This window comes from Homo sapiens, chromosome 2 (genome assembly GCF_000001405.40).
Source record: "Homo sapiens chromosome 2, GRCh38.p14 Primary Assembly".
NCBI classification, from domain to species: domain Eukaryota; kingdom Metazoa; phylum Chordata; class Mammalia; order Primates; family Hominidae; genus Homo; species Homo sapiens.
Window position 1 is genome coordinate 31,520,644 of NC_000002.12, and position 26,980 is coordinate 31,547,623.

Below are 26,980 nucleotides of genomic sequence, written 5' to 3' on the forward strand. Positions count from 1 at the left end.
CTGAGGCCTCCCCAGCCATGTGGAACTGTAAGTCCAATTAAACCTCTTTTTGTTCCCAGTTTCAGGTATGTCTTTATCAGCAGCATGAAAACGAACTAATACAGTGGGCTTTTGTAACTATGCACCACCAAAGAAGGGCCCTCTCAGATCCCCTTCCCTGTCCCCAACCCACCTCATAAGCTCCAGGTGGAGGTCTGGGTAAAAGACCTGGCAACCAGACTAAGGTGACCAGGTCATCCTGGTCTGCCTAGGACTTTTCCAGTTTGAGCACAGAAAGTCCTGTGTCCCAGGAAACTCCTCATCCTGGGGCAGATCTGGATGCTTGTTCAGCCAAGTGTCTGAGTCTCCCAGGGATTCTAATCTCATGCTAGGTTCCACTCAGCTATTGATAATTCATTGAAATTTCTGTTGTTTTCTTCTTTCCCACTCTTATGGCCATTACCTCTTCCTCCCATACTCCGCTGAAAGTGAAACGGTTTGTGTGTTTCCTCTGAAATTCAGTTCTTCTGGTTGCTCTCCTATCTCAGTTCATTAAAAGGCTCAAAAAGTTATAATCTTATATACTATCTGGTTTTTTCTCATTTTTAGAGTAGGAATGGTTATCTGGTGGCTTTCTACACCCTAAGTGGAAAAAAAACCTCCTCATCCCCTTTGCTTCTAAAGAATTGAGCTGCGCATTAGAATGTTGTCCTTGTGGAAAGACATTATAAGAAGCTGCACAAAGTGACCCCTGCATTTATTGTAAAGATGCTCTCATGAACATAGTTCCCCACATCACACAGTGTAGAAATTTATCATGAGTCTCAGTACCGGTAATAGTTGTGTTTCCCTGGTCAAGTTGTTTTTCTTTTGTGAATGTTGTGGATTTAGCAACTGGTAATTTCCTTCTGTACTTTGGAGACTCAGGACCCAATTTATGTTTAGATTTAGCCACTGTACATGATCTTCCAAGGGCATTTTTGCATTTTAACTTTATCTCTGGCTTTATTTTACTTTTTACTCCTATTTCTACTTCCCCTCACTTACTTATCTGTTCAGAGCTTATCCTGTTATAAACCATCATAAAGAATTATTTTAATGAAATAGTATCTGAAAGGCAACTTGTAACAAATGAAAGCACTAATACATTGACAAAATTTAATTGATTTTACGGTATTGCTTTCTAGTCAACACTGTAAAAACGCTTCTCTATAAGGAAGGATCCTTTTTTGGGGAGTGCGTCTGGAGTAAAGGAAAACAAAGGCCTTGAAAAGGGGAACCCTGGCAGTTGCTTATTCTTCTGGATGCTCCCATCTTCCCATTGGCCTCAGCCGACTTGGATGCTGCCACACGCTCTAAGAGCAATTACTTCACCTCTTTCTCACAATGTCACTACTACGCAGAACTAAAACTATCTTTACGAGGTGAGCAGACAGAAATACAATTATTTATGGTGAAGCACAGCCAAATGGCTTGTGTTTTTTAAAAGTCAGCTTCTTCTTTTATGAAATGGAGCTCTAACAAGTGTTTATTCTCTCTGTCAGAGGGAGGTCTTTTCCTGGGAGGATAAAGAAGGGACCAGGCTTGTGCAGCCTGGACACAGGAAAGGGAGGAAGCCCACTCTGTCAGTGGGAGGCCCCTCTCTCTCAAGGGCCTTCCATTGCCAACCCTCCCTTAGACCCTCGCTCATTACTCCCCTCCTTCCTCCACTTTCTCTGTTGTCCTCCTCCTCCCAGCCAGCTTGCCATGTCGGAAGGGATATTCGCTATCCCTCCAATAAAGAATCTAGATTGTTACTGCATTGAGCAAAACCAAACCCTCAACCCAAAAAGACAGGACTAAAGAAACTAACACAGCTTGGTGCATACTTTAACCTTCTCCAGTTATTTATTTTATTCATCCAAATCTCAAGCTAAGGTTGATGGGGAGAAATGAGGCACAATGCAAATAACACAGAACTCTTTAAGATCACAACTCCATGGACTTGTACAAAGAATAAACAAATGTCTTACTTAGAAATTAAATCCACTCGATGGCTTATTAAATCACCCAAGAACTCACATTGCCACCCGGCTCTATGCCTCTTTCATCATAGGATAGTGTAGATGCTATAAAATAATCAGCATCCTTCTCCAGAAAAATTCACTTTACATTTGCCGTTACCCTCCTTGTTTTCCCTGCATGGACCTCAGCTCACAGCTTATTAGAGAACCAAAAGGCCAAGCGGGAAAAGAAATGAATCTTCATGAGCCTATTCCTTCATGTGCCAAGAGCTTGCTCCCCTGCTTCTTAGTGAGATTGCCATGAGGTAACCACAAAAATCCAAGAGAGCTATTATCAAACTTCAGGGTTGTAAAACCACGGATTTATTTATTTGTTCCTGAAAGGGTCTAAGCCGCCTAAATAGCTGTTTAATTGCGTATTTCTCATTAGAGCTCCTTTTTCCTTTTAGAATACAGTGGAGCCACTGTTGTTCTTTATGAAAGTAAGCATTAGGGATAAGGGGGTTTATGACCTGAAACCTTTTTTCCATGCTGAACACACATGTTGTCTTGACTACACCAATGAGGGAAAACTCTCTATTCTGTCAAATAGGTTTATGAAAGGGCATGAGCCTGGTGCTCCCACGGAGCGAGGGAAGCCTCACACACAAACAGGCATGGGACAATAGGTGTATAAACTGAACTATGCAACAGCACTTAAGCTCTGGCTATTTTTCTCCTGCATGAGCTCTGTAGAAATCCAGATGGCAGCCCTAAAGGCTGTGCCTTAAGCAGAAGAAGCATACATCTGACCCTCAAAGGGACAAAATGAGATGGCTGCTCTGACCAGCTCTGTACCAGCTGTGAGGAGGCCTTTTAACTCTGTGGGTCTCAGTGTCACTACCTATAATGTGAAGTGGTAGGAATAGCTGATGTCTGAGGTCTGCTTCAGCTCTTTAAGTCTAAATTCTGAAAAACAAACAAAACTCAACATTTTCTTCAAGGTTGGCAGGAAAACGCCTCTTCCGTGAAAGCTTCAGCAAGACCAAGATAGAGTATCTTGTGAGCTAGGACACTGTTAGATTATTTTAGCCAAAAAACAGTCCATGGAAACCTCAATTAACTATAATTTTGTTGCACCCTATTTTTAAAAGTGGGAAGAAATATGTTTAGAGATGAGCACATGTTCAGACCTTTACTGTATTTAATCCACATACATATCCTAGCCCTAAACAATGACAAACTGTCATTGAACACAACAGCCCTAGAACACTGAGAATACCTGAATTATCAAGGGAAGGTTTCAGCTTTCATAGAGTTCACGCTACTCTACCCTATATTCAGATTAAGAAGTTCCACGATCATGCTAACTTGAAAGGTCCACGATCAGGCAACAGGACTGGGGTTGGACCTAATTAAGTCAAGGTTGGACTAAATACTATTTTAGAAAGCGCCCTCTTGTGGCAAAAAGTGAAATTGCCAAATGGCGGTTTTGTCCTGAGACTGAGTACTGCCATTTATTGTATATTTATTTCATCTCAAGGACCGGCCTGGATGTTTTACATGGTAGTAAAATAAAGGACTTAAGCAAGGTAGTTTTCAATGTCATGGAGAGAACTGGAAGTCTTTTATGTCACAGAGCTCAAGCTACACCTGAAGATTTACTTCACCAAGTGTGTTCATTCCCCCTGTGTATTCCTCAGCACCAGGAGTGGCATCTAACCTCATGACGTTTTCCTGCACCTTTATTGTACTTCCTTGTAGTTCTGAATTGTGGCTGAGAGGCTGTATAAGTCATACTTCTTTATTTCCAGCACACAGCCCCTAATTTCATGAAGAGAGAAGAGAAGAAAGGAAACGACACTACAGACAGGGTGAATGGGAATGAGGGACAGGCGGGACAGGGAAGCACACCCCAATACCTTGTGAAAATCTCCAGAAGTCCCAGGATATTTTAATTCAAACAAAACTGCTTAACATCCATGATTTAAAGGTATTTAATGAACAACAAAAACACTTATTTATATGATTGCAATTTGCATTTTTCAGTAATCTACATCATCCTCAGACCTTTCAAGTTTCCTATGTGACTTATATAGTGAGTTTCTGTGCTTAGTACCACTGGTGCTCATTTGTCAAAACAGTTTGCTAAATATTGACAATGCATTCCGCAAACATAGGCCTGAGAAGACAAATATTTCCATGTATTCCAATTACAAGCGTTCGGCCCCTTCCTTAGAGAGTCCATATCTCAGCACTCATGCTGGGGTGACCCCTTCACAAGAGTTTGCAAACTCAAATGCTTACTAGCTACGTAGTTCCAGTTCTGGTGTGGAAATGTGGGCTCTGTATGTTCAGATCCTCCAACTTTTTAAATGAAACTAGAATGCTAGAGTTTTATGAAGGAATCTCCTGATTTTTAAGTTTTTGAAACTTTGTAAAAAAAAAAAAAACTATATGTCTGAGCCAAACAAAACAGGTTTTCTGCCCAGACGTGCCCCTCTGTCTGCAATTTTCAGTCTCTGCCTGCAGGTCCTTTGAGGGAGGCATTCAGGCTGCCCCTAGGAGACACCTTCTTGAACAGGTCCTGAGAACTACAAGGAAGAAGCTCCAGGAAAGGAAAGTTGCTTGGGGCTTCTGCTGTACTTCATATTGTTGTGGACATCTGGTGGAGGCAAGCAGCATGTAACCTCATCATTAATTCTCTTTGTTTTACACTACTCATTATTTGGATATTGCCACTAGTTTCCAAAAACATGAGAGTTTGCAATGTCTATTGTAAAACTGTTCTCTATCCTCTTAGTAGCCATCCAGGGTCATGTTGTTCTCTACTCTCTCATAAGCCACCCAGGTTCATGCCTTTTTGTTTGTGGTTATTAAAACCTGGCCTTCAAGAATAGCCATACCAGTTTTCCGGGGATTGTGAAATCTTCTGGAAAACAGAGGCACTCATCAACTAAGACACTGCACAAATTTGAAATGAGGTCAATGCATCAGTATCTTTTCAGCACTATGAGGAGAGGGCTCCTGTATTCAAGGTCTACCTAATAATTTCTCATCTTTCCTAATTAACCAAGAAAAAGGAAGCCATGACTGGGGTTTTCATTTGGGAGTGGGTTTGCTCTGGGTCTTTGTGGCTTCAGAGTTTAAATTTCTGCTACTCTGTTACATGTATAAAATGCATACCTTTAATAAGGTCTATAAGTACTGCCTTCAAGTCAAAAAATTCTTGATTACAGAGTTGTCCTGCATTGACAGGGAGTGGGTATGAAGCCACATGTACTTGGATTGCCCGGTGAAAGACATAGGAGAAGTTTGTACTTTCTCAGAGCAATAGCTAAGAAGCAACTGTCGCCATTTGGAAAAGTGGCTTTTTGAAGCTTCAGTTGGGGATCAGGATAGGGGTCCCTGGAAGGGTAGGAGTAAACTCTAAGCAGACACCACTCAGAATCCCCAGGCCAGCTGGCAGAACGCCAGGAGACCTACTATTACATATATACGGGACTATTATATCATGAAAATTACAGTTTCAGCAGCTTGACAGTTTTCATCAGCATTGTGGGAGCTCTGCTCCTTTTTAATTTGGTTCCTTTAAAAGATGAATGGAATAAGGGCTTTCCGAGATTTGGGGTAGTCCTCAAACATCTTGAGGTAGAACCTAAAAGACAAGAAAGGAATAATTGTAAATATAATGGAGCAGTGGCTGACAGCTGAGGTTTGCTCTTACCAAATCTTTGTTACAAGTCAACCTACAGTTATTTTGGGCCTGACTATTTCGATGGTCACTTATGATTCTTATTTCTCCTTCCCACAGCCTATTTCTTGTAAATGTTGAAGCTTCTTTTGCTGGGAAATGAAAAGTAACAGGCAGAGGGTAGTGGTGATGGCTGTGCAATATTATGAATGTACCTAATGCCACTGAATTTTACAATTAAAAACGGCTAAAGTGGTAAAATTTTTGTTACGTATATCCTACCAGAAAAAAAAATGTAGTATCTAGAAGGAGGTACTTGTTTGGATTCAGCTGGGAAATACAGGGAACCAAAGACTATGGGCAAAGAGAACCAGCAATGTTCCCAGGAAAATATCCCTTCATGAGGCCTGGGAATGCCAGCAAATTGTCACCATGTATCATGGGTTGAATTTTGTCTCGTCAAAAGATATGTTGAAGTCCTAACCCCCAGTAACTGAGAGGGTAATTTTTTTTTTTCTGAAACTAGGACCATTGCAGATAAAATTAAGATGAGGTCATAATGGAGCAGGGTGTGCCCTTAATCCAATATAACTGTGTCCTAAAAAGAAGAGGAGAAGAGACAAAGAGACTGAGACAGAGACACACAGGAGAGAAGGCCATGTGAAGACGGAGGCAGAGATCAGAGTGATGCAGCTATAAGCCACGGAACACCAAGGGTTGCCGGCCACCATCAGAAGCTAAAAAGAGGCAAGGAAGAATTCTTCCCTAGAGCCGTCACGGGGGCCTGGCCCTGCCTACGCCTCGATTTCAAAATTCTAGCCTCCAGAACTATGAAAGGACAAATCTGTGTTGTTTTAAGCCGCCCAGTTTGTGGTAATGTATTGCAGCAGCCACAGGAGACGAATGCATCTTATAAGAAGCCTGTCTGCTTAAGTTGCCAGGCTGTCTTCCTAACTAGTTGATGCTGGCGGTCCTCAAGGCATAATCAAGATGACACACTGTATTAAAGTACCTTAGTTTGAATTAGGGGGCAAATAATAAGTTACAAAAGGTGGCTGGTTTTCGGTACTGTGATTTGAGAAGTCTGGTGGGCTGCCTCCGCCCGTGCTGCCTCTGATGTGAGTGCCTGGCTTTGTTTTATAGAAGCCTTCACAAAGTCCTGTTAGCCTATTAAAAACTATGCCTTCTGGCCCTTCTCTGGGAGGTCTGACATCACAGGATGAGGCCTCAATTTGGGTTTTGTTGTTGCAGCAGCTGGAAACGTCTGGTGGAATTACCATCCCTCCCCTAACCAAGCACAGTAGAGTCCCTCCTTCCCAGGGACCCTCCAAGTGCTGAGTGATGCCTTCTCTTCTCCCATTCCCGCTCTGCCTCTGGTGGGCAGCAGACCCAGCCTGAAATGGTAAGAACTGTTATGACTCTTTTATGGGCTAGGAACCCTCTGCCACCCCTCCTCACAGAGTCTAGGAGGTGGTAGGAATAGGTCACTAGCTGTTGCTTCATTCATTTCAGAACTGTTGTCCTCGAACAATTCTAATCAGAAAAAAAGGAACTCATTCTTAGTTAAATCTTCAAAACTAGGCATTGAGTCATAACCCCAGGGTCCTGGTTCCAAGACCACTCATTCCCTGTTTGAGTATCCATAGTCTCCAGTAATTATAGGCTTTCTCTTTCCACAAAAGCCATTTTAGGGAAAGGATCTGACATTTACACTTGGCAAGTTAAAGCCTGATAACAACCTAATATATTACCTTTCACTTCCAGCAATACTTTTAGTTAATTCTTTTGTCCCCACTCCACCCCAGGTTAGTGGATTAGTGAAGCTTTAGGCCAGACCTTCAGAGGGAGGGTTCTGAAACACCTGCAATCCCTGGCATTTCCCAGCAGATAGGGCAGTCCTAAGATTGCCCCATACATGGGATTTCTTGTCCTACCTTCCCCAGAATCCAGGGTTGGCCTTGGTTATGATTTATAGAGGGTGGGTGTCAGGGAAGGAAGGCAGTACCAAAATAAACCCTGGCATTGCAGAGATTCCAGGGGAAATAATCCTTCTGGAGTTCCAGGGCTCTGTGATTACCTGAACTGTTAGCACCAAATCTTGTTGCCAAAAATAGCAGCCACATAGTCACCAAGATAGTACTTTTTCCCAGTGGTTCTCTAGCCTGCTGTGCCTCAGAACATCTGTGGAGGCCAGGCGTGATGGCTTTGCCTGTAATCCCAGCCCTTTGGGAGGCCGAGGCAGGCAGATCACTTGAGGTCAGGAGTTCAAGGACAGCCTGGCCAACATGGTGAAACTTGTCTCTACTAAAAATGCAAAAAGTTAGCTGGGCATGGTGGTGGGCCTGTAGTCTCAGCCATTTGGAAGGCTGAGGTGGGAGAATCACTTGAACCTGGGAGGTGAAGGCTGCAGTGAGGCAAGATCGCCCCATTGCACTTCAGCCTGGGCATCAGAGTGAGACTCCAACTCAAAAATAAATAAATAAATAAATAAATAAATAAATATCTGTGGAGCTTTGGAAAGTGCTGGCCATGGTCCCACCTCTGGAGCACACTTCCAGAAATGTGGTGGGAGGGGATGAAACTGAAGGTGGAAATGGAAGCGGCTTCTTCCGCTTCTTGAGGCTTTATCTAAGCATCTCCAGGTAAGCCTGCCTGGTGGGCACAGAGCCTGGGTCAGCTAACCCAAGAAGGTGCAAGGCACTTCTCGCTGGACAGCCTTCTTCAACAAGACAGGCACAGGACCTTCCCGGCCGTCACCTCAGTTGCCTCTGTTTACATGGACTTATGTTTGTTCTTAGAAAAAATTTTATTACTGCTACTCTCATCCAGCTAACTTCCAACTTCAATACAAGCCCAGCAAGTCAGAATATGCTAACCCAGATTATAGTATCAACCTTCCCTTAAAAAATTAAATATCTTCGGTTTCTCAATCTTCCTCTGCGGGTTAAAAGCCTGTTTGGAGAAGAAGAAAGCTACGTGAATGCTGCCGCTTTTATTGAAAAATTTACCTATGGTGGTGAAAAGCTCGCAGCCCAAGGAAACAAAGTGAGAAAAATGCAAATGCAAGTGCTGGGAGGGACCAAGTGGCCAGGGCATAGCCGATCCATTCAATGATCTCACCGAGGAAATTGGCTCCAGAAACATACGTAAACAAGCCACCTGCGTGCAGAAGAATCGGAAGGTCAATCATTGCAACTGAATCATTTTGACATTAAACCCATCTGTGTTGTTCCAAAATACACAAAGGCAGCAAGAACAAATGTGGGGCTGGAGGCTCCCTCCATAGTCATAGGAGTTTGGTGGAATCCTCTTGGGGAGAAGGGGAAACAAAGCAACAACAGCCTGTTGCCTGGAGAACATTCTGGAGTTGCGAAGAGTGGCCTCAACTGCTTAACGGGCTCTATCCAAATCTCTAACAACTGCTGGACCACTAGCTTTGGGTAGGATAAGGGAGAGGTGTAGGAGGTCTGGTTTTTGTTTTGTTCTGTTAAGGAAGGTTTTTGGGCCACCTCTTACCTCCCCGCTCCTTTCCTGGACACACACACGTTCACATTCACAGTCCCAAAATGTGAAACTGCACACTACATTAAAATAATAAAAATCTGAACTCACGGGAGAAGGAATTTAGATTCTCTTATGGGATTTGCCCCTCCCCACCCTTCTGCAAAGCACTCTCCTCTGTTCATGTTTAAAGCAGAGAGTAGGAGCTGCAGGTATTTGTCCTGCTGTAGGCTGGTGAAGTCGGCTTCTAGATTTTAAATGTTTCATTTTCTATCCAACCAGGTATTTCTTCTCTCAGGACTGTATCTAGAAATCAGCATATTTCTAATGATATTAAATATATCCACACTAAATTTTATTACCCACATTAAACTGGGGATGTTTCAACCGAAACAATTTTGTTCTTTCTACAGTTACATAAAAATACTTTGTTTTAAATCATTCTCTATTATAATTCAAAAGTTGGAAACTAATCTTGGCAACTGGTTTTCAAGTGCTTTCTCTGCTCTTCTTTATTTATCTAGTTATGGAGTGAATGTTTTTAAAATCAAAGCCCCTTAGAGTTGAATCTTTCTTGAAGATGAGACTGCGTCAGTGGTTCCCAACCTGTGATTCCCTACGCCCTGGGAGGAACCACGGATCTAAAGCAAAGGGCCTATAAATTTTCTATGAAGACAGTAAACGGCACATCTTAACCTCCTAAATTATTTTTGTTTGATGTAGATACTGTTAGGATATTAACAACATTCAAATTCATTTGAATCTGTTACTGAATTCATAGTAACTTTGTCATTAATTTCTTAATCAATGACTATTAATGTGCACTAACATCATGTCATAATTGAGGAAATTTTTTGATGTAAATAAAGGGTTGTATTTACATCAAAAACGGTGGAAGCCAAGGACCTACACAAATACCCATCTAAACCTACTGAAGGATGACTTGGACTGATTTGCTCCCATCTGCGTATATTTGTCAATCTCATACCCTGGTTTCTTTGGAGCAGTTAGGATTACAAACATGCTCACCTTTATCTCCAAAAATGCACTTGTGCTTGTAAGGCCTCCCATCCTAAGTTTTGATTAAGTAAATATAGTTCTCTACACCTTTAAAAGTATATATGAATGGCAGGAAATACGCAAGTTCTAGCCTTAACTGCTCACAAGATAAGTCTAGATCAATTGGAGGGGACACATTTATTGGCCAAGCATTCAGCATCATTTGCAACCTAGAAAGGATCAGCCCTCTGTACATGACAACCTTACCTACTGCAATGAGGGTGTAGGTAGCCGATTCCAACCCTACTCAAATCTCCCACTCTCTCCCACCTTCCGGGTATTGCGGTCTCGCACCTTCCTGAGGGCTCTGGTAGCTCTCTGGAGCTTCTGGGTTCAGATTAGAAATGCAGAGGTACTGTGATGGGACTGGGTTTGCAGGGGAAGTCAAGAGCAAGCTGAGAGGTATTGTATCATTCGTGCCCTCACTGTCCCCTCTCCATCTGCTACCATAGCATCATCCCTGGGACAGGCTCCAGGGAAGAGTGAGAGTCTGGGGGCAGGGGAGACATTACCTTGTGGAATCCTGTAGCTGATTTCTCCAGGCTTCCTGAGCTGGCGCAATATATAGTCACTATGAATGTTTATTCCCATTCCCAAAATAAATAAGAAGACACCTTGACAAAGAAGAGAGAAAGGAGAAATTTTTTTTAAATGTGTCCAGATTGTGGTGCTTTTTTCACAAACTAAGCTAAAATGAAAGGAGGGGCATTTAATTTCTAAATCTAAGAATGGTCCTAAGACGTGGCAGAAAGTGGGGAGGGCAATGAGTCCTGGTCCTGAATGGGGAGCACTGGGTGTGCTGTTTCCTAGACTTGGGCTGAAAGTACACAGTGGCACCACTGATGGAGACAGATTAGAAAAGAGAGGAGAGCAGGAGGTAGCACCATTGTCCAGTATTTAAATAGATAAACAAACAAATGCATGGATCATAATAGTAAGCCTTTAGCTCATTCACAAACAGTCAAATCGAGGTTTCATATCTCAACAGCTGATTCCAGCCCCTTTTCTTTTGCCATCCCCCACTACAGAGGTTGCACTGAGAAAGGGGGTCACATGAGCTAGTTCCACCAATAAGATGTAAAGTGAAGTCTTGGTTGGGGGACTTCCTTGGAAATCGTTTGCTTTTCTGATAAAAGGTGCAGGCAAGACCGGTGCCCCTACTTCGTCTTTCTTCCTGTCTTGATTGCCAGATGTAATGCCTTGAGCTACAGTCAACATCTTGCAACCATGAAGTGATGAATAAGAGGACCACAGGTAAACATGCTAAGAATAGGGGAGACACAAAGTGCCTGAGTTATTAATGGTGTCAGTAAGCAACCACAGGAATGCAGAAGCCACCTACTTCGACACTTGTTATGTAAGAACTATGAATTCTGAATTATTCCCGTCACTATTATATGGTTTTCTGAACGCATTCCTGACTGAAACACCCACTCTCATGAAATAACGTGAGCTAGTTTGGAGGCGTGGCCACTAACAAACTGACTTCCATCACTGCCAGTTCACACACACACACACACACACACACACACACACACACATTCTGACATTAAAAGTAGCATACTACACACACTGTTCACATTTTTATTTATCTTACTTAGCCACATATCCTGGAGGTGTCTCCACATGCACTATCCACTGGTACAGAAAGGGCCCTGTTCTGAGGTGAGGACAGCCAGGATCAGGGATGCTAGATCCTGCATCCCAAAAGGCATTATTACAGCCCAGAAACACTCACCGTCCCACAAAGAGGCCCAACCCAACCTGTCAGCAAAGCACTTTGGTGCTTTTCAAAATAGGCAAAAAGCAAGAACAGTTTAGTTGAAACAATCAAGTCTATTCTCACCTTATTTGATTTGATATAAAACAAGGATTTTCCACCTTGCCTAGTCAAAAGATCATTAGCCTGGAAGAAAGGGTATCTGGGGCAGGGGATGGTAGGGGAGCGGGGAGGGAAGGGGGACAGCACACACAGCAGTGTCTTCAACCATTTTAGATAGGGTGGTCAGGGAAAGTCCCTTTGAGGAGGTGCAAATTGGTAGGGAACTAAATAAAGTGAGGAACCAACCCCCATGAATACATGGGGGCAAAGCCTTCTAGGCCAGGCTTGTCCAACCCACAGCCTGTGGGCCACATGCAGCCCAGGACAGTTTTGGATGTGGCCTGACACAAATTCGTACACTTTCTTAAAACATTGTTTTAAGAAACAATGTTTCTTTCAGCTTATCAGCTATCATTGGTGTTAGTGAATTATATGTGTAGCCCAAGGCAATTCTTCTTTTTCCAATGTGGTCCAGGGAAGCCAAAAGACTGGACACCCCTGTACTAGGCAGAGGGAACAGTCCTATACAAAAACACTGGGGCTGGACAAGCTTGACAGCTTGTGGCACAGCAGGAAGGCCACTGGCACTGGAGCACAGAAAAGGAGGTGCAGGGAGCCAGGAAAAGAGGTTGGGAAATTGAAAAGACCAAGAATATTTAGGATTTAAAGGCAGTGGGAAGGAATTTGTATTTTATTTTGAGAGTAAAGGAAATCTACTGGAGAGTTTTGCGATGGGAAATGGCATGATATGTGTTTAAACAATCTCTCTGGCTACCATATAGAGAAAAGATCAGGGTAGAGGTGAGGGAGGGGAAGATGGGATCATTACGAGGTCATTGCAGTAGGGAGAGGCCATGGCGATGTAGATTGTGGGAAGGGTTGTTAGCTGGGAAGTAGGTGAGAAGTGGGCAGATTCACTTACCCAAGCTAAACCGTATGTCTGTGTACCACCCATCAGGGTATTCAGCACAGTAAATCAGATAGTAGCCTTGAAGGACTCCATTTCCAGTGCAGAAGGCAGTGCCTCTGAGAATGAGTATAGCTGGATAAGGCCTCCCTCGATTGAGCAGTGAGTACACAAATGTCCTGGGACACACAGGGAGGAAAGGTTAGGATTCACTGTTAAAAAAGAACATGGTCTCATCCCCACCTCTTTCTTAAGCTCACACCAGAAGGTACAAAAACCAGGCTCTGCCATTTCGCCTTAACCCAATACAAATTATCTTCTCCAGGAGGATGTATATCACAGGCCAAAATAATTACATACCTGAAAAGTACAACCACTAAGAAATAATCAACAACATGTAATATATAAATAATTTATGTAATAAATAATGAATAACATGTACCATGCAAAGTGGAATTATCATGACAGAACAACAATTTTAAATAAGTACAATAAATATCCTTAAAGAAATGTTTCCTTCAAGGCAGAAAAAAATACTTGAAAAAGAACTAAATAAAAATAATTTATCAAAAATTATAAAGCCTATTAGTGATAGAGTAAGAGCAAAATCTAGGTCTTCTGATAATCCTAGTTTTCTACATTAAACCTTTCTAATTACTCTTGAATTGGCATTTTCAAAAAGATGTACTGTCACTGTATGTGAATGAGTGATAGACTCAAAAAAGAGAATCCATAGTTAAGTAAGCTTGGGATCTATAACATCAGACAAGACCTAATATTTACTCATTGTGGGGTTTCTTCAAGCCATGGCATACTAAGGATATGATGACTCTCCGAGAAGGAACCCCTAGTTTGGCACATTCATCACAGACTTGGAGCTCCACTCCAGAAAACACTTTCCTAAACAGGGCAGATAATCCTATACACACAATTGGATCTTGAAGCTTTGAAAACTGATATTTGATTCTGTAAATTTTATATTCATTTTTCTTTCTTTGTCTCTTACACAAAAACACACACACATATGCATGCACACACACATGTACAAATGCACACGCACATGCTCATGCTAGACAACCACACACATCTCCAGAGCATTCATCTGATCTTTTGCAGACAAGAAAGAGCAGACAAGATCTGCAGATTTCACAGATAATCACAGTTGCATTTTGGATAGGAACACCCATCCTTCAAAGTCTGGGAGGTTTGTCTTAGATTTCCTTCTCAAAAACAGGAAGTCTAAGAAATGCCCTGGGCTTCATGTCAGGGATGTGAGTCACCATTTTTTTTACCTGGATCATATGTGAGTGTTGCCTCCTAAAATTGCTGTGAGGATGAAATTATCTAATTTGATGCTTCCTATGAAGAAGCACATTTTAAATTATGGAGTGACTGGCAAAAGTATGCAGACAGGTGTTGCATTATGTGTGAGTCAATTTTTTTTTTTTTTTTGAGATAGAGTCTCATTCTGTTGCCCAGGCTGGAGTGCAGTGGCACGATCTCGGCTCACTGCAACCTCCACCTCCAGGGTTCAAGCAATTCTCCTGCCTCAGCCTCCCAAGCAGCTGGGACTACAGGCACCTGCCACCATGCCCAGCTAATTTTTGTATTTTTAGTAGAGACAGAGTTTCACCATATTGGCCAGGCTGGTCTGGAACTCTTGACCTCGTGATCCACCTGCTTCAGCCTCCCAAAGTGCTGGGATTACAGGCATGAGCCACCGCGCCCAGCTGAGCCAAATTTTATAAACATAAAACATCAAGGTGGTATTGAAGACCTGCACTTTCCCCCTTGGCAACAGCAGTTCCACATCTTTCCTCTCTTGGCTTGAATATGGACAATTCTGTTGGAACAGGGAGGCTGCTCAAGTGTTCTCAGGATGCTGAAACTTCTCACCTCTACCATCTGCTCTCCTGGCCAGTTAATGGACTATGAGGATCTTTAATTATTTGTATTAAAAAGCTGAAGGGGAAAGAAAGGTTAGTTTCCTGTGCTGTCTCCCTAGAAACTAAATGCTGTCTGCTGTCTCCCTCTCCCCTTCACACCTGGACTCAGGTCTACTATGTCGTCTGCAGAATGCCTCCCACCCCACCCAATCACAACAGTGCCTACAATTCATGTCAGTAAATAATTACCTTCTCTGTTTCTCACCTCCTTCAAAACACAAATACACACAACAAGAGAAAGGAAATTGAGTCTCTAATACCAGAGTGTGCATAAGTGAATTAGATTCATGAGTTTTACTTCCTTCCCCAGAGGGAAAAAGAACAGAGTGAAGATGTAGTGGGAGAGCAAGGGCTCCGTGGTTAAAAAGGTCAGGCTCGAAGGATTTCACTATTTCATAACTCTGTGATCTTGGACAAACTCCTTCATCTGTAAACTGAGGTTAATTATTAACCTTATTGGATTATGAGGCTGGACTCATTGGACTACTGTTTTATGAGAATCATTGGATTCCTACAGAAATTAAATAAGATGATGCAGGAAAAAGTAACTGATACAGGATTGTTGCTATTTGTTTCTCCTTGCATTCACACTCCAGGAAAGCTTTGGGAGCCTGAAGGTGACTTCTTAGAAGGAAAGGATCCTGAAAGGCTACAGAAAGGTATTTTTTAAAAAGTTGTATTTTTGTAATACTTGCAGTAGAAGTATGTATTAATCAGGGCAGGCTCACTACTGTAACAAACAACTACAAAGTATCAAAAGATCAACATAATAAAAGCTCATTTCTTGCTCATGCCACAGTAAGATGCTATTCAAGCTTCTGCTCCACAGCCATTCAGGACCCAGGCCCTTCCAAGGAATCTTCTGCATCTATCCAGCAGGCAAAGGAAGAGAGAGGACAAGGAGGATTGTGTAGAAGATTTTCTTAATGACCATGCTTCAGGCTGGAAGTGGCATAAATTCCACCCTCATTCTTTTGGCCCCACCCAACTGCAAGGGAGGCTGGGAAATGCAGCTGATTGGGTTTCCCAGCAGGAAAAAGAAGGAGGTTTGGTGAACACATGGTACAGACAGAAGACTTTGGAGAACTAGATGTCCCGGAGAACAAATAAAGTTCATCTAATCTGAATAACTTTGCTATTGGAAAGCTGGAAATAGTTCAAAGCTTGTTTCACTGTAGAAAAAGACAAAGACAATGACAGAAGCGGGAGAGAGTCTATTAGCCCAAGAGGCTGGCAATTGGTGCTGTAGAGTTGTAGGTGAGTTTCCCCTTCAGATCCCATGCTCCACCTATGGTCTGAGACTCAGTTTCCCTGGTTTGGGACCACATCACTTTAATTACCTCCTACACCTCTAATGTAAATTTTCATTCTTTTATGTTTGTTCTTATAGAGAGACTGATAAGTACTCTGTAAATATAAAGTTTTTTTATCATTGCTAAGTAAATATTCATTTGGGGGGATTCATTGGAAAGGGTTAACTGAAATTGCAAATCCAAATTAAACCAAAGAAAAGAAGCTTTAAAATTACACATCTTGCATAGACCAACTCATATTTAACTAAGTCTTCTTCAAATATAAATGCTATTGCTAAGATTATCAAGCCAATTGAAGACTTTTCACTATATGAAATTTTAGACTCATTGTCAATCAAAATAAATTCAAACTCTATAGATAAATACAAAGTTTCCATGTATATATTTAACTGTTCTGTATAGTAATTACACCTTTCTTGACCCTGTAACCTTGTTCATCTACTACTCCATTTTCCTGCTTTCCTTTATAGCAACTCCAGAGAGTTGCTTATGCTCACCATCTCTGTCTTCTCCTCCACTTCTTTCCTCCTTCCCCCTCCTCCCATGGAAACAAATCTTGGTGGGGCCACCAGAGACCATCACATTCCCAAACCCAAGAATCAATTTACAACTCTCTTCTTATTTGACAAATTAATCACTCCCTCTTTCTGGAAACACTTTCTTTACTCAACTTCCAGCACACCACACTCTCTTGGTTCTTCTGCTTCACTGATCTGTTCTCATTTTCCTTTGCTGGTTTCTCCTCATCCTCCTGACCTCTAAATATGAGAGTGCCCCCAGAACTCAGGACTCTTTTTCTTCTTTATTTACAGTCTCTGTCTATGTGATCACATCTAGACATATCATTAAATATCATTCATATAATCTGAATGTGTTCCCCAAAATTTGTGTGCTGGAAATTTAATCCCCAATGCAACGGTGCTGAAAGGTGGGGCCTTTTAGGAGGTGTTTAGGTCATGAGGGCTCTGCCAACATGAATGGATTAATGCTGCTATAAATAGGACTTGAGGGAGTGGATTTGTTCATTCTTGCCCTTTCACCTTCTGCCTTCCTCCACGTGAGAATACACCAAGAAGGAGTCCATCAGATGCTGGCACCTTGGCCTTGTACATCCCAGCCTCTAGAACCGTGTGAAATAGATTTCTGCTCTTTGTAAATTACCCAGTCTCAGGTATTCAGTTATAGCAGCGCAAAACAGACAAAAGCAATTATCTATAGGACAGCAAGTCCCAAATTGATATCTCCAGACAGGATATCTGCAGTCCTTAAACTCAGACTCCTGTGGGCAACCTCCTACTATGCCCCTAGTTTAATGGATATTTCAATTTTAACACAGTCAAACCCAAACCTCTGACTCCCCATTCTTCCCCAGACTTGCACTTCCCTCGGTCTTCCCCATCTCAGTAAATGCCAAGTTTATTCTTCCAATTGCTTAAGCCAAAGATCTTAGACCATCTTTGATCTCTCTCTCTCTCTCATTCTCTCACACCCCACATAAAATCTGTTAGCAATTTCTGTCATCTTTATCTGCAAAATGTTTTCAGAATCTGGCCACATCTCACTAACTCCATTATTCCATCTGAGTTTAATCTCTCATTAAACCTCTCCCGGGTATTTGTAAAAGCCTCCTCATTTGACCACCACATTTACTCCACCGCAATCTATTCTCCATATAGCAGACCAATAAAGCTGTAAACTGGATCATATTACTTCTCTCTGAAAACCTCCTTCATGACTAAATGAAAGCCCAAATTCTTGACTGCCTTCAAGACCCTAGACAATCTGATTCCCCAACTACATCTCTGCTCTCTTCTACCACTTTTGTCTTTGTCCATCTCACTGCAGCCACTCTGCTCAAATGTTAGCTTCCCTGACCACCTTATGTAAAATAAATAACCTCCAATGCCTCCAGCACTCACTAGCCTCATAAATCTACTTTACTTTTTCCAGTAGCATTTTTTACTAACATATTCTACTTTCTGTGTTTATTGTCCACCTCTTCCCACAAGAATGTATGCACCATAAAGAGAGAAATGTTATCTATTTTGTTCATCACTATATCTGCAATGCCTTGAACAGTGCCTGGGACACAGCAGGCCTGGAATGAATTTTGAATGAAAGAGAGTCTATCATGTGCTATAAGTGGCACACATCATACGCATGCAGAGCTTCAAATTTTATCTCACTGTATATGCATCATAACTTTTACTTCCAGGGGGGTGTGAAGTGGAGATGCTTTTCCACATTCCTCCTGCTACATATAATTGAGTCTCTGGACGTTATTTAAAAAGCAAACATGAGAAGATTCTAAAAGTTGGAGAGAACAAGGCATATGGGCTAGAAACCTTAGGATTTGAAGAAAAACAAAGCAGTGTGTTCCTGGATTTTCATTTTGCCTCATATATTCCAGATTTAGAGCCATTGAAGTTGGCAACCATAAAATGGAACCATCACAGATCAAAAAGGCCAAACAAAATCTTACTTTCTCTAGCCAAGGAATGAGAAAAAGGGAAAAACCAGAAAGACAAAAACTTTTAGAATATAGTTGCTTTGTTATAACAAACACCACAGAAAAACTGGCTCACTCTCACCCCACTAGCAAAGTCTGATGGAAGTGCAGAAGCCTGTGCTTCCCCCTTACCAAGCTGTTATAGGCACTCTAACCCCTTGCCAGGCTGTGTCAGAAAAGGCTGGGTAGGGAGTCAGGAATTCCTACTGGGAAGTAACAAGCTCATCCCACTTCTCCACAGTGTTAGTAGAGACAACATGGGGAGCCAGGATTTCTTAACTCCACATCCTCCTGCTGGCCTGGGTAGTATCAGAGAAGCCCTAGTGGAGAGTTGGAATATTCACCGTTTCCCAGTGACAACAAGGCCACCTTCCCTCCTCCACTGCATTCCATGGTGTCAGTGGAAACCAGTTGGGAGGTGAAAGGAAACATTCCCAACTCTCTCAGCCAAACAGATATCAGTGGAGGACTAACAGGGAGCCAAAAACCCCACCGCCACACAAAAGTAACAAGGAGCCTCCACGTTCAGGTTTCAAAATGTCCAGGTTTCAATGGAAAATAACTTAACATACCAAGAACCAAGAAGGTCTCAAACTGAATTTTTAAAAATCAATAGATGCCAATACACTGTATTATGTAATTCTAAATGTACGAAGGGGGAATATTTAAGACAATTATATTATAAATGAGGAAGAAAAATGTGGCATTACGGGAAGTATGTTTTCTACACTCAAACTGGTAAAATGACAACACTTTTAAACTATGAAAAATTGTGCATATATAATTTAACACCAAGAGCAATCACTAAAAAACTATATGAAAGAGATTCTCTTGTATCAAATCTAAGGATAAATCAAAATGAAATTCTAAAAAATATTCATATAATCACCAGGAAGCATAAAAAAAGAAAACACATAGAAAAACAGAGAGAACAAATATAAAACAAAAAATAAAATTTCAGACTTAAGCATTAATACATTAATAAATCCAATAAATGTAAATAATTCAAATCATTGTAAAGACAAGAGTTGGCTAAAGACAATTAAAAGACAAGAGTTGACTAAAACATAACCAAACAATAGGTTGATGACAAGAAACTCACTCAAATATAACAATATAGTCAGGGTAAACGTAATAAAAAGGGGAAAAGATGTATCATAAAAACATTAAATAAAGGAAGGTAGGGAGAGCATCCTGGGGAGCTGCAAGAGTAAGAAACACGAGGAATCTGTCTCCCTGCTTAGGCAATAATTGCACTGACAGAGTATGTCTGATATAACTGTTTTGGAAATCTGGAGTCTATTGAAGGCTTGCAACTTTCAGGGAAACATTTGGATGGTACATTGCAGTTAACTTTGATTTCAGCTCAGTCAATTTTAGCTCTTAGCACAGTAACAGCTACCCATTTCCTATCCCCACCCCTGTGGCAGGCAGCTGTGCATGTATTCCTGCAGCAGCTTGTTGCACACAGCTTGAAGGAGCCAGGATAAGCAAAATGGACCCTGTCCTCTAAGTATCAGGCATATGTGCTTAGATTGATGATTGCTGCTTCTGATCAGAGAGGTACAGACAAAGAGGTGGTGGGTCTTTGCTGTTACACCTTATTCCATTGTTGCAAACCCCTCCCCATCCAGCTGAAATGACTTCCAGAGATTTAAAGGGCTGGCACCCTATTTCCACTCCCTTTTTCATTTTTCTCTTTTTCTCCTTTTGGGAGCCAGATATTAAAGATAAGGACATTCACAAACAACTGAATATATGGGGAAAATTAGAAAGTTAACACACATGACCACAGAAAGATGCAAGCTCAGAGAATACCAGTAAAGACCTTATGTTTACACCTCAGGCTGATCCTTGGCACAGAGACAGACTAAAGCAATTTTTATAAACAAACAAAACAATAACAAAAAGCAAACAACCTTGAGGAAAAAGAAGAGTCTGCATCCCAGAGTTACCACATCATTAAATTGAAATACCCAACTTTCAACAAAAAAAAACACAAGGCATTCAAAAAAAAAAGAGGAAAATATAGCCCATTCAAAGGAAAAAATAGTCAACAGAAACTGCCCCTGAAAAAGACCTAACAGCAGATCTACTCAAAAAAGACTTTAAAATAACTGTCTTGAAGATACTTTAAGAACTGGAAAAGAGGGAGGGTGGAGCAAGATGGCCAAACTGAACCTTGCAACAATGATCCCCACTGCAGAAGACCTATTTAACAAACTATCTACACACACAAAAAGCACCTTCGTAAAAACAGGAAATCAGATAAGCAATCACAGTACTTGGTTTAACTTCATATTGCTGAAAGAGGCACTGAAGAAGGTAAGAAACATAGTCTTGAATTGCCAATGATGCCCCTCCCCTATCCCTCTGGCAGCAGCCACATAGCACAGAGAGACAATCTGTAAACCTGGGAAATGGACAGTACAGTGATTGTGGGGCTCTGCATTGAACTCAATGCTGCCCTGTCACAATGGAAAGTAAAGCTGGGCTAAACTCAGCCAATGCCAACACACACAGGGAGCATATAGATCAGCCCTAGCCAGAGGGGAATCACCCATCCCAGCAGCTGGAACTTGAATTTTCACAAGACTTACCACCATGGGCTTAAGTGCTCTGGGATCCTAAACAAACTTGAGAGGCAGTCTAGGCCACAAGGACTGCAATTCCTGGGCAAGTCCTAGTGCTGTGCTGGGCTTAGAATCAGTGAACATTGGACACCAGCCAGGGTGGCTAAGGAAGTGCTTGTGCCATTCCTCCTGCAACACCAGGCAACACAACTCACAACAAAATTTACTCCCACCATCTGCTTAAGGAAAGGAAAGCAAAGAGTAAAGAGGGCTTTATTTTGTATCTTAGAAGTGATTATTATGCACTGCATGCCTGTATCAAAATACTTCATGTACCTCATGAATATATACACCTACTACATACCCAAAAAATAAAATTTAAAAGCCTAGGCAACATAGTGAGACCTCATCTCTATTAAATTTATTTATTTATTTATCCAGGCATGGATGGCACACACCTGTAGTCCTAGCTACTCAAGAGGCTAAGGCAGAAGGATCACCTGAGCCAAGGAGGTTGAGGCTGCAGTGAGCTAACTGAACCATGTACTACAGCCTGGATGACAGAGCAAGAACCTGTCTCAATAAATAAATAAATAAATAAACTAAAAGTACATGTGGATGAAGTCAAGAAAACAATGTATAAAACAAAATGACAATACAAATAAAGATTTTGAAAACCTAAAAAGAACATCTGGAGCTAAAAATTAAAATAACAGAAATGAAAAATTTACTAGAGGGCTTTGAGGGAAGATATGAGTAGGCAAAAGAAAGAATCAGAGAACTCAAAGATAAGGCAATGGAAATCATCAAGTCTGAGGAACAAAAAGAAAACAAAATTGAAGAAAAGTGAGCAGAGCCCAAGAGACCTGTGAGACATCATCAAGGGGCTCAACATACACACCATGAGAGTCCCAGACAACGCAGAGAGAAAGAAAGGAGTAGAGAGAATATAGGAAGAAATAATGGTGAAAAATTCTTCGAATTTGAAAAAAGACATGAACATAAACCTCCAAGAAGCTCAATTAACTCCAAGTAAGATGAATTCATAGATACCCACATGGATATACATTATAATCAAACTTTCCAAATACAAAGGCAAAGAGAAAATCTTGAAAGCAGCAAGAGATAGAAATGACTTGTCACATACCAAGCATCTGCAATAAGATTATCTACAAATTTCTCATCAGAAATTTTAGAGATAAGAAGGCAGTGGGCTGATATTTTCAAAGTGCTAATATAAAAAAGAAACTGTCAAGCAAGAACACCATATCTGGCAAAACTTGAAAGTGAGGAGAAACTTAAGACATTCCCAGCTAAACAAAAGCTGAGATAGCTTGCTGCCCTACATCTGCCATGCCAAAACTGTTAAAGGGAGTCCTGCAGGTTAAAATGAAAGCATACTATACAGTAACTAGAATCTATATAAAGAAATAAAAATATCAATGAAGGTAAACATAGGGACATTGTAAAAGGTGGTATTATTATAACAATGTTTCTTGACTTTGTGTTCTGTACATGATTTAAGAAACTAATACTTTTTAAAAAAACAATTATTAGTCTAAAAGTTAATATCACTGAAACTATGGTTTCTAACTCATTATTTTTTCCATAGAAGAGTTTAATGCATTTCAAGGAATTATTTATGTTTTGTGACACATGATATATAAAGTTGCAATTTTGTGACATTAACAATCAAAGAGAGATGGGAAGGAGCTGTTAAAGTAGCAGAGTTTTATGTTATTGAAATTAAGCTGGTTTATAAGTTAGAATGTTATAAATTTAGGATGTTAAATGTAATTCCAATGGTAACTGCAAAGAAAATAGCTATAGAATATATACAAAAGGGAACAAGGGATGGGGAGTTATACGGTGTAGAGAAAACAAATATAAAAATTATAGAAGTAAGTTCCTCCTTTTCAGTAATAGCATACATGAAAATGTATTAAACTCTTCAACCAATATAGATGAGCAGAATGGATTTTTTAAATGATCCAAATATATGCTGTTTACAAGAGACTCACTTTAGCTCCAAAGACACAAATAAATTGAAAGTGGAAAAATGGAAGATGACATTTCATGCAAATGGAAATGAAAAAAGAGCAGATGTGGCTGTACTAACAGGCAAAATGGACTTTAAATTTTTTTAAAAATGGTTACAAGAAACAAAAAAAGTACTTAATCTTAAAAGGTTCAGTATAGCAAGAAGATAGAAGACTTATGAGCATTTATGCACCTAATGACAGACCATCAAAATAAAGACAGTGAAAACTTCAGAATTGAAGTAAAAAGAGACATTTCTGCAATAATAGTTAAAGAATTCAATACCACACTGTCAAAAATGAATAGAATAACTAGACAGAATATAAGTAATGACATAGAGAACTTAACACAATAAACCAACTAGATCTAACAGAAATATACAAAACAACTCTGACCACAACAGGATAAAGTTAGAAATCAATAACAAAAGTAAAACTGAAAAATCTATAAATATGTGAAAATTTTAAAACACATTCTTTAAAAAAATTAATGGATCAAAAGAGAAAGCAAAGGGAAATTAGAAAATACTTAGATATGAATGAAAATGACAACATAACATACTAAAACTTATAGGATGCAGCAAAAGTAGTGTTAAGCATGAAATTTGAAACTACAAATGATTATATTAAAAACAAGGAAGATCCTATATCAGCCAACTAACTTTACAACTTAAGGAGCTAGAAAAGAATAAGCTAAACCCAAAGCTACCAGAAAGAAGGAATAATTAAGATTAGAACAAAGATCAAAGAAATCAAGAATAGAAAAACAAGGGTAAAACCAATAAAACCAAATGCTCCTTCTTTAAAAATTTTTTTTAAAAATGACAATTCTACACTTAGATTGACTAAGAAAAATAGAGACAAGACTCATATTACTAAAATCATAAATAAAAGTGGGACATTACTACTTATTCTATGGGAATAAAAAGAATTCTAAGACAGCACTATGAACAATTGTACCCCCCAAAATTGGATAACCTACATGAAAAAGTTCAGATTCCTAGAAATACTAAACCTACCAAGACTAAATCATAAAGAAATAGAAAATTTGAAAAGACTTATAACTAGTAAGGAGATTACATAAGTAATCAAAAATCAAAATCTCATAATGAAAAAAAAAGCCCTTGATCTAACAGTTTCACTGGTGAATTCTACCAATAGTAGAAATACTTCTACCATTTAAAGAACTAACCCCAATTGTTCTCAAACTTTTCCAAAAAAAAAATGAAGAGGAGAGAGAACACTTCCTGACTTATTCTATGAGGTCAGCATTATTCTGACACCAAATTTAGACACAGACACTATCAGAAAAGAAAATTATAGAGCAGTATTTTTTATGAACATCAAAGCAATTTTTTAAACAAAATACTAGCAAACCAAATTGAGCAGCATATAAACAGAATTATAGACCATGATCAAGTAAGACTTAATTCTAGAATGCAAGGATAACTCAAAATACAAAAATCAATCAGTGTAATCCATAGCGTTGTCAGGCTTACAGAGGGTAAAACACGTGGTCAATTAATTGATGCAGAAAAAGCATTTGAAAAATTCACTCTTTCATGATAAAAGCACCAACCAAACTGAGAATGGAAGGCAACTTCCTCAACATAATAAAATCTGTATATTAAAAACCCAAAGCAAACGTACTCAAAGATGAAAGCTCTTCTTTTAAAATCAGGAACAAGGCAAGGGTGCTGCTTTTGCCATTTCTATTCAACATAGTGCTAGAAGTTTTAGCCAGAGCAATTAGACAAGGAAAAGAAATCAAAGAGATACAAATCAGAAAGAAGGAACTAAAATTATCTCTGCTTACAGATGATATGATCATGTGTCTAGAACACTCTAACGATTCCACATACATTTTTAAAAAACTGTTAATAGACGAATTAAGCAAAGTAGCAGGATAGAGAGTTGACACACAAAAATCAGTTGCATTTCTATACACTTACAATAAACAATATGAAAAGGATATTAAGAAAGTCTCATTTACGATAGCATCAAAACAAATAAAATACTTAGGAATTAACTAAAGACGTGAAAGACTTGTACAGTAAAAAATTATAAAATATTGCTGAAAGAAGTTAAAGAAGAATATAAAAATGGAAAACATTCCATGTTCATGGACTGGAAGACAATATTTTTCAAATGTCCATACTACCAACACAATCTATTGACTCAATACAATCCCTATCAAAATTCCAATGACTTTTTTTTTTCAGAAATAAAACAGTCCACTATAAAATTCAAATGGAATCTCAAGAGACATCAAAAAGCCAAAACAATTTTGAAAAAGGAGAAAAAATATTGAGGACTCTCATTTCCTGATTTCAAATCTTACTAAAAACTATAGTAATCAAAGCAATATAGTACTGGCATATAGACAATAAAAGCCTATAAAGACAAAGACATGCAATCTACCTAGATGCCCATTAATGATGGACTGGATAAAGAAAATATGTTACATATACATCTTGGAATACTATGCAGCCATAAAAAATTAAATTATGTCCTTTGCAGCAACATGGATGCAGCTAGAGGCCTTTATTCAAAGCCAAATTAATACAGGAACAGAAAACAAATACTGCACATTCTCACTTATAAGTAGGAGCTAAACGTTGAGTACACTTGAACATAAAGACAAAAAGAACAGACACTGGGGACTAATAAAGTGGGAAGGGTGAGAGGGGGCTAAGGGCTGAAAAACTACCAGTTGGCTACAATGCTCACTAACTGGGTGATGGGATCGTTTGTACACCACACCTCAGCAACGTGCAACTTACCCATGTAATAAACCTGTACATGTGCCCCCTCAACTTTATTTTAAAGTTAAAAAAAATAAAAATAGGCTGGGCACAGTGGCTCACACCTGTAATCCCAGCACTTTGGGAGGCCAAGGAGGGCGGATCACCTGAGGTCAGGAGTTCAAGACCAGCCTGACCAACATGGAGAAACCCTGTCTCTACTAAAAATACAAAAAAGTAGCCAGGCGTGGTGGCACATGCCTGTAATCCCAGTTACTAGGCAGGGTGAAGCAGGAGAATCACTTGAACCTGGGAGGCAGAGGTTGTGGTGAGCCGAGATGGCGCCATTGCACTCCAGCCTGGGCAACAAGAGTGAAACTCCATCTCAAAAAATAAAATAAAATAAAATAAAAATAAAAATAAAAGTCTAAAAGGCACATAGACCTGTGAAATACAATACAGAGTCCAGAAATAAACCCTAATATATATGGTTAAATGATTTTTGACAAGGGTGCTATGATGGTTGATTTTGGATGTGACCTTGACTGGATTAAGGGATACCCAGCAGCTGATAAAGTACAAATTATTCTCAATGCTTCAGTAGAAACTGATCATGTCTCCCTTCTGTAAAAGGGAAACCCAAGTGATTTAGCATTTGATTCTAATGATTGGGCTACCCCAGGTGCATCTGTGAGGGTGTTTCTGGAAGAGATTGGCATTTGAGTTGGTGGACTGGGTGGAGAAGATCTGCCCTCAATGTGGGTGATGGAATAAAAATGTAAAGGAAGGACAAATTCTTGATCTGTCTTCTGGAGCCAGAATTCATTTCTTCTACCCTTTTCAAGTGTACATGGGCTATATACCATGGTAGATTATATTTGTATCATGAGACAAGTTCAGATTCTCTGGTCT

The 26,980-nt window shown here is 40.1% G+C and overlaps 1 protein-coding gene across 3 annotated transcripts in view; it reads right to left on the minus strand.

Moving 5' to 3' along the window:
* Positions 1,837-26,980, minus strand: part of SRD5A2 (steroid 5 alpha-reductase 2) — a 140,530-nt gene continuing 115,386 nt past the window's right edge. For all 3 annotated transcript variants that reach the window (XM_011533072.3, NM_000348.4, XM_011533069.3), the window contains 4 exons: positions 12,960-13,123; positions 10,728-10,829; positions 8,664-8,814; positions 1,837-5,619 (listed from right to left, as the gene is read on the minus strand). In XM_011533072.3, coding sequence (XP_011531374.1) covers positions 5,553-5,619; positions 8,664-8,814; positions 10,728-10,829; positions 12,960-13,123 — 484 coding nt within the window. In that variant the 3' untranslated portion in view covers positions 1,837-5,552. The remainder of the gene's footprint in view (positions 5,620-8,663; positions 8,815-10,727; positions 10,830-12,959; positions 13,124-26,980) is intronic.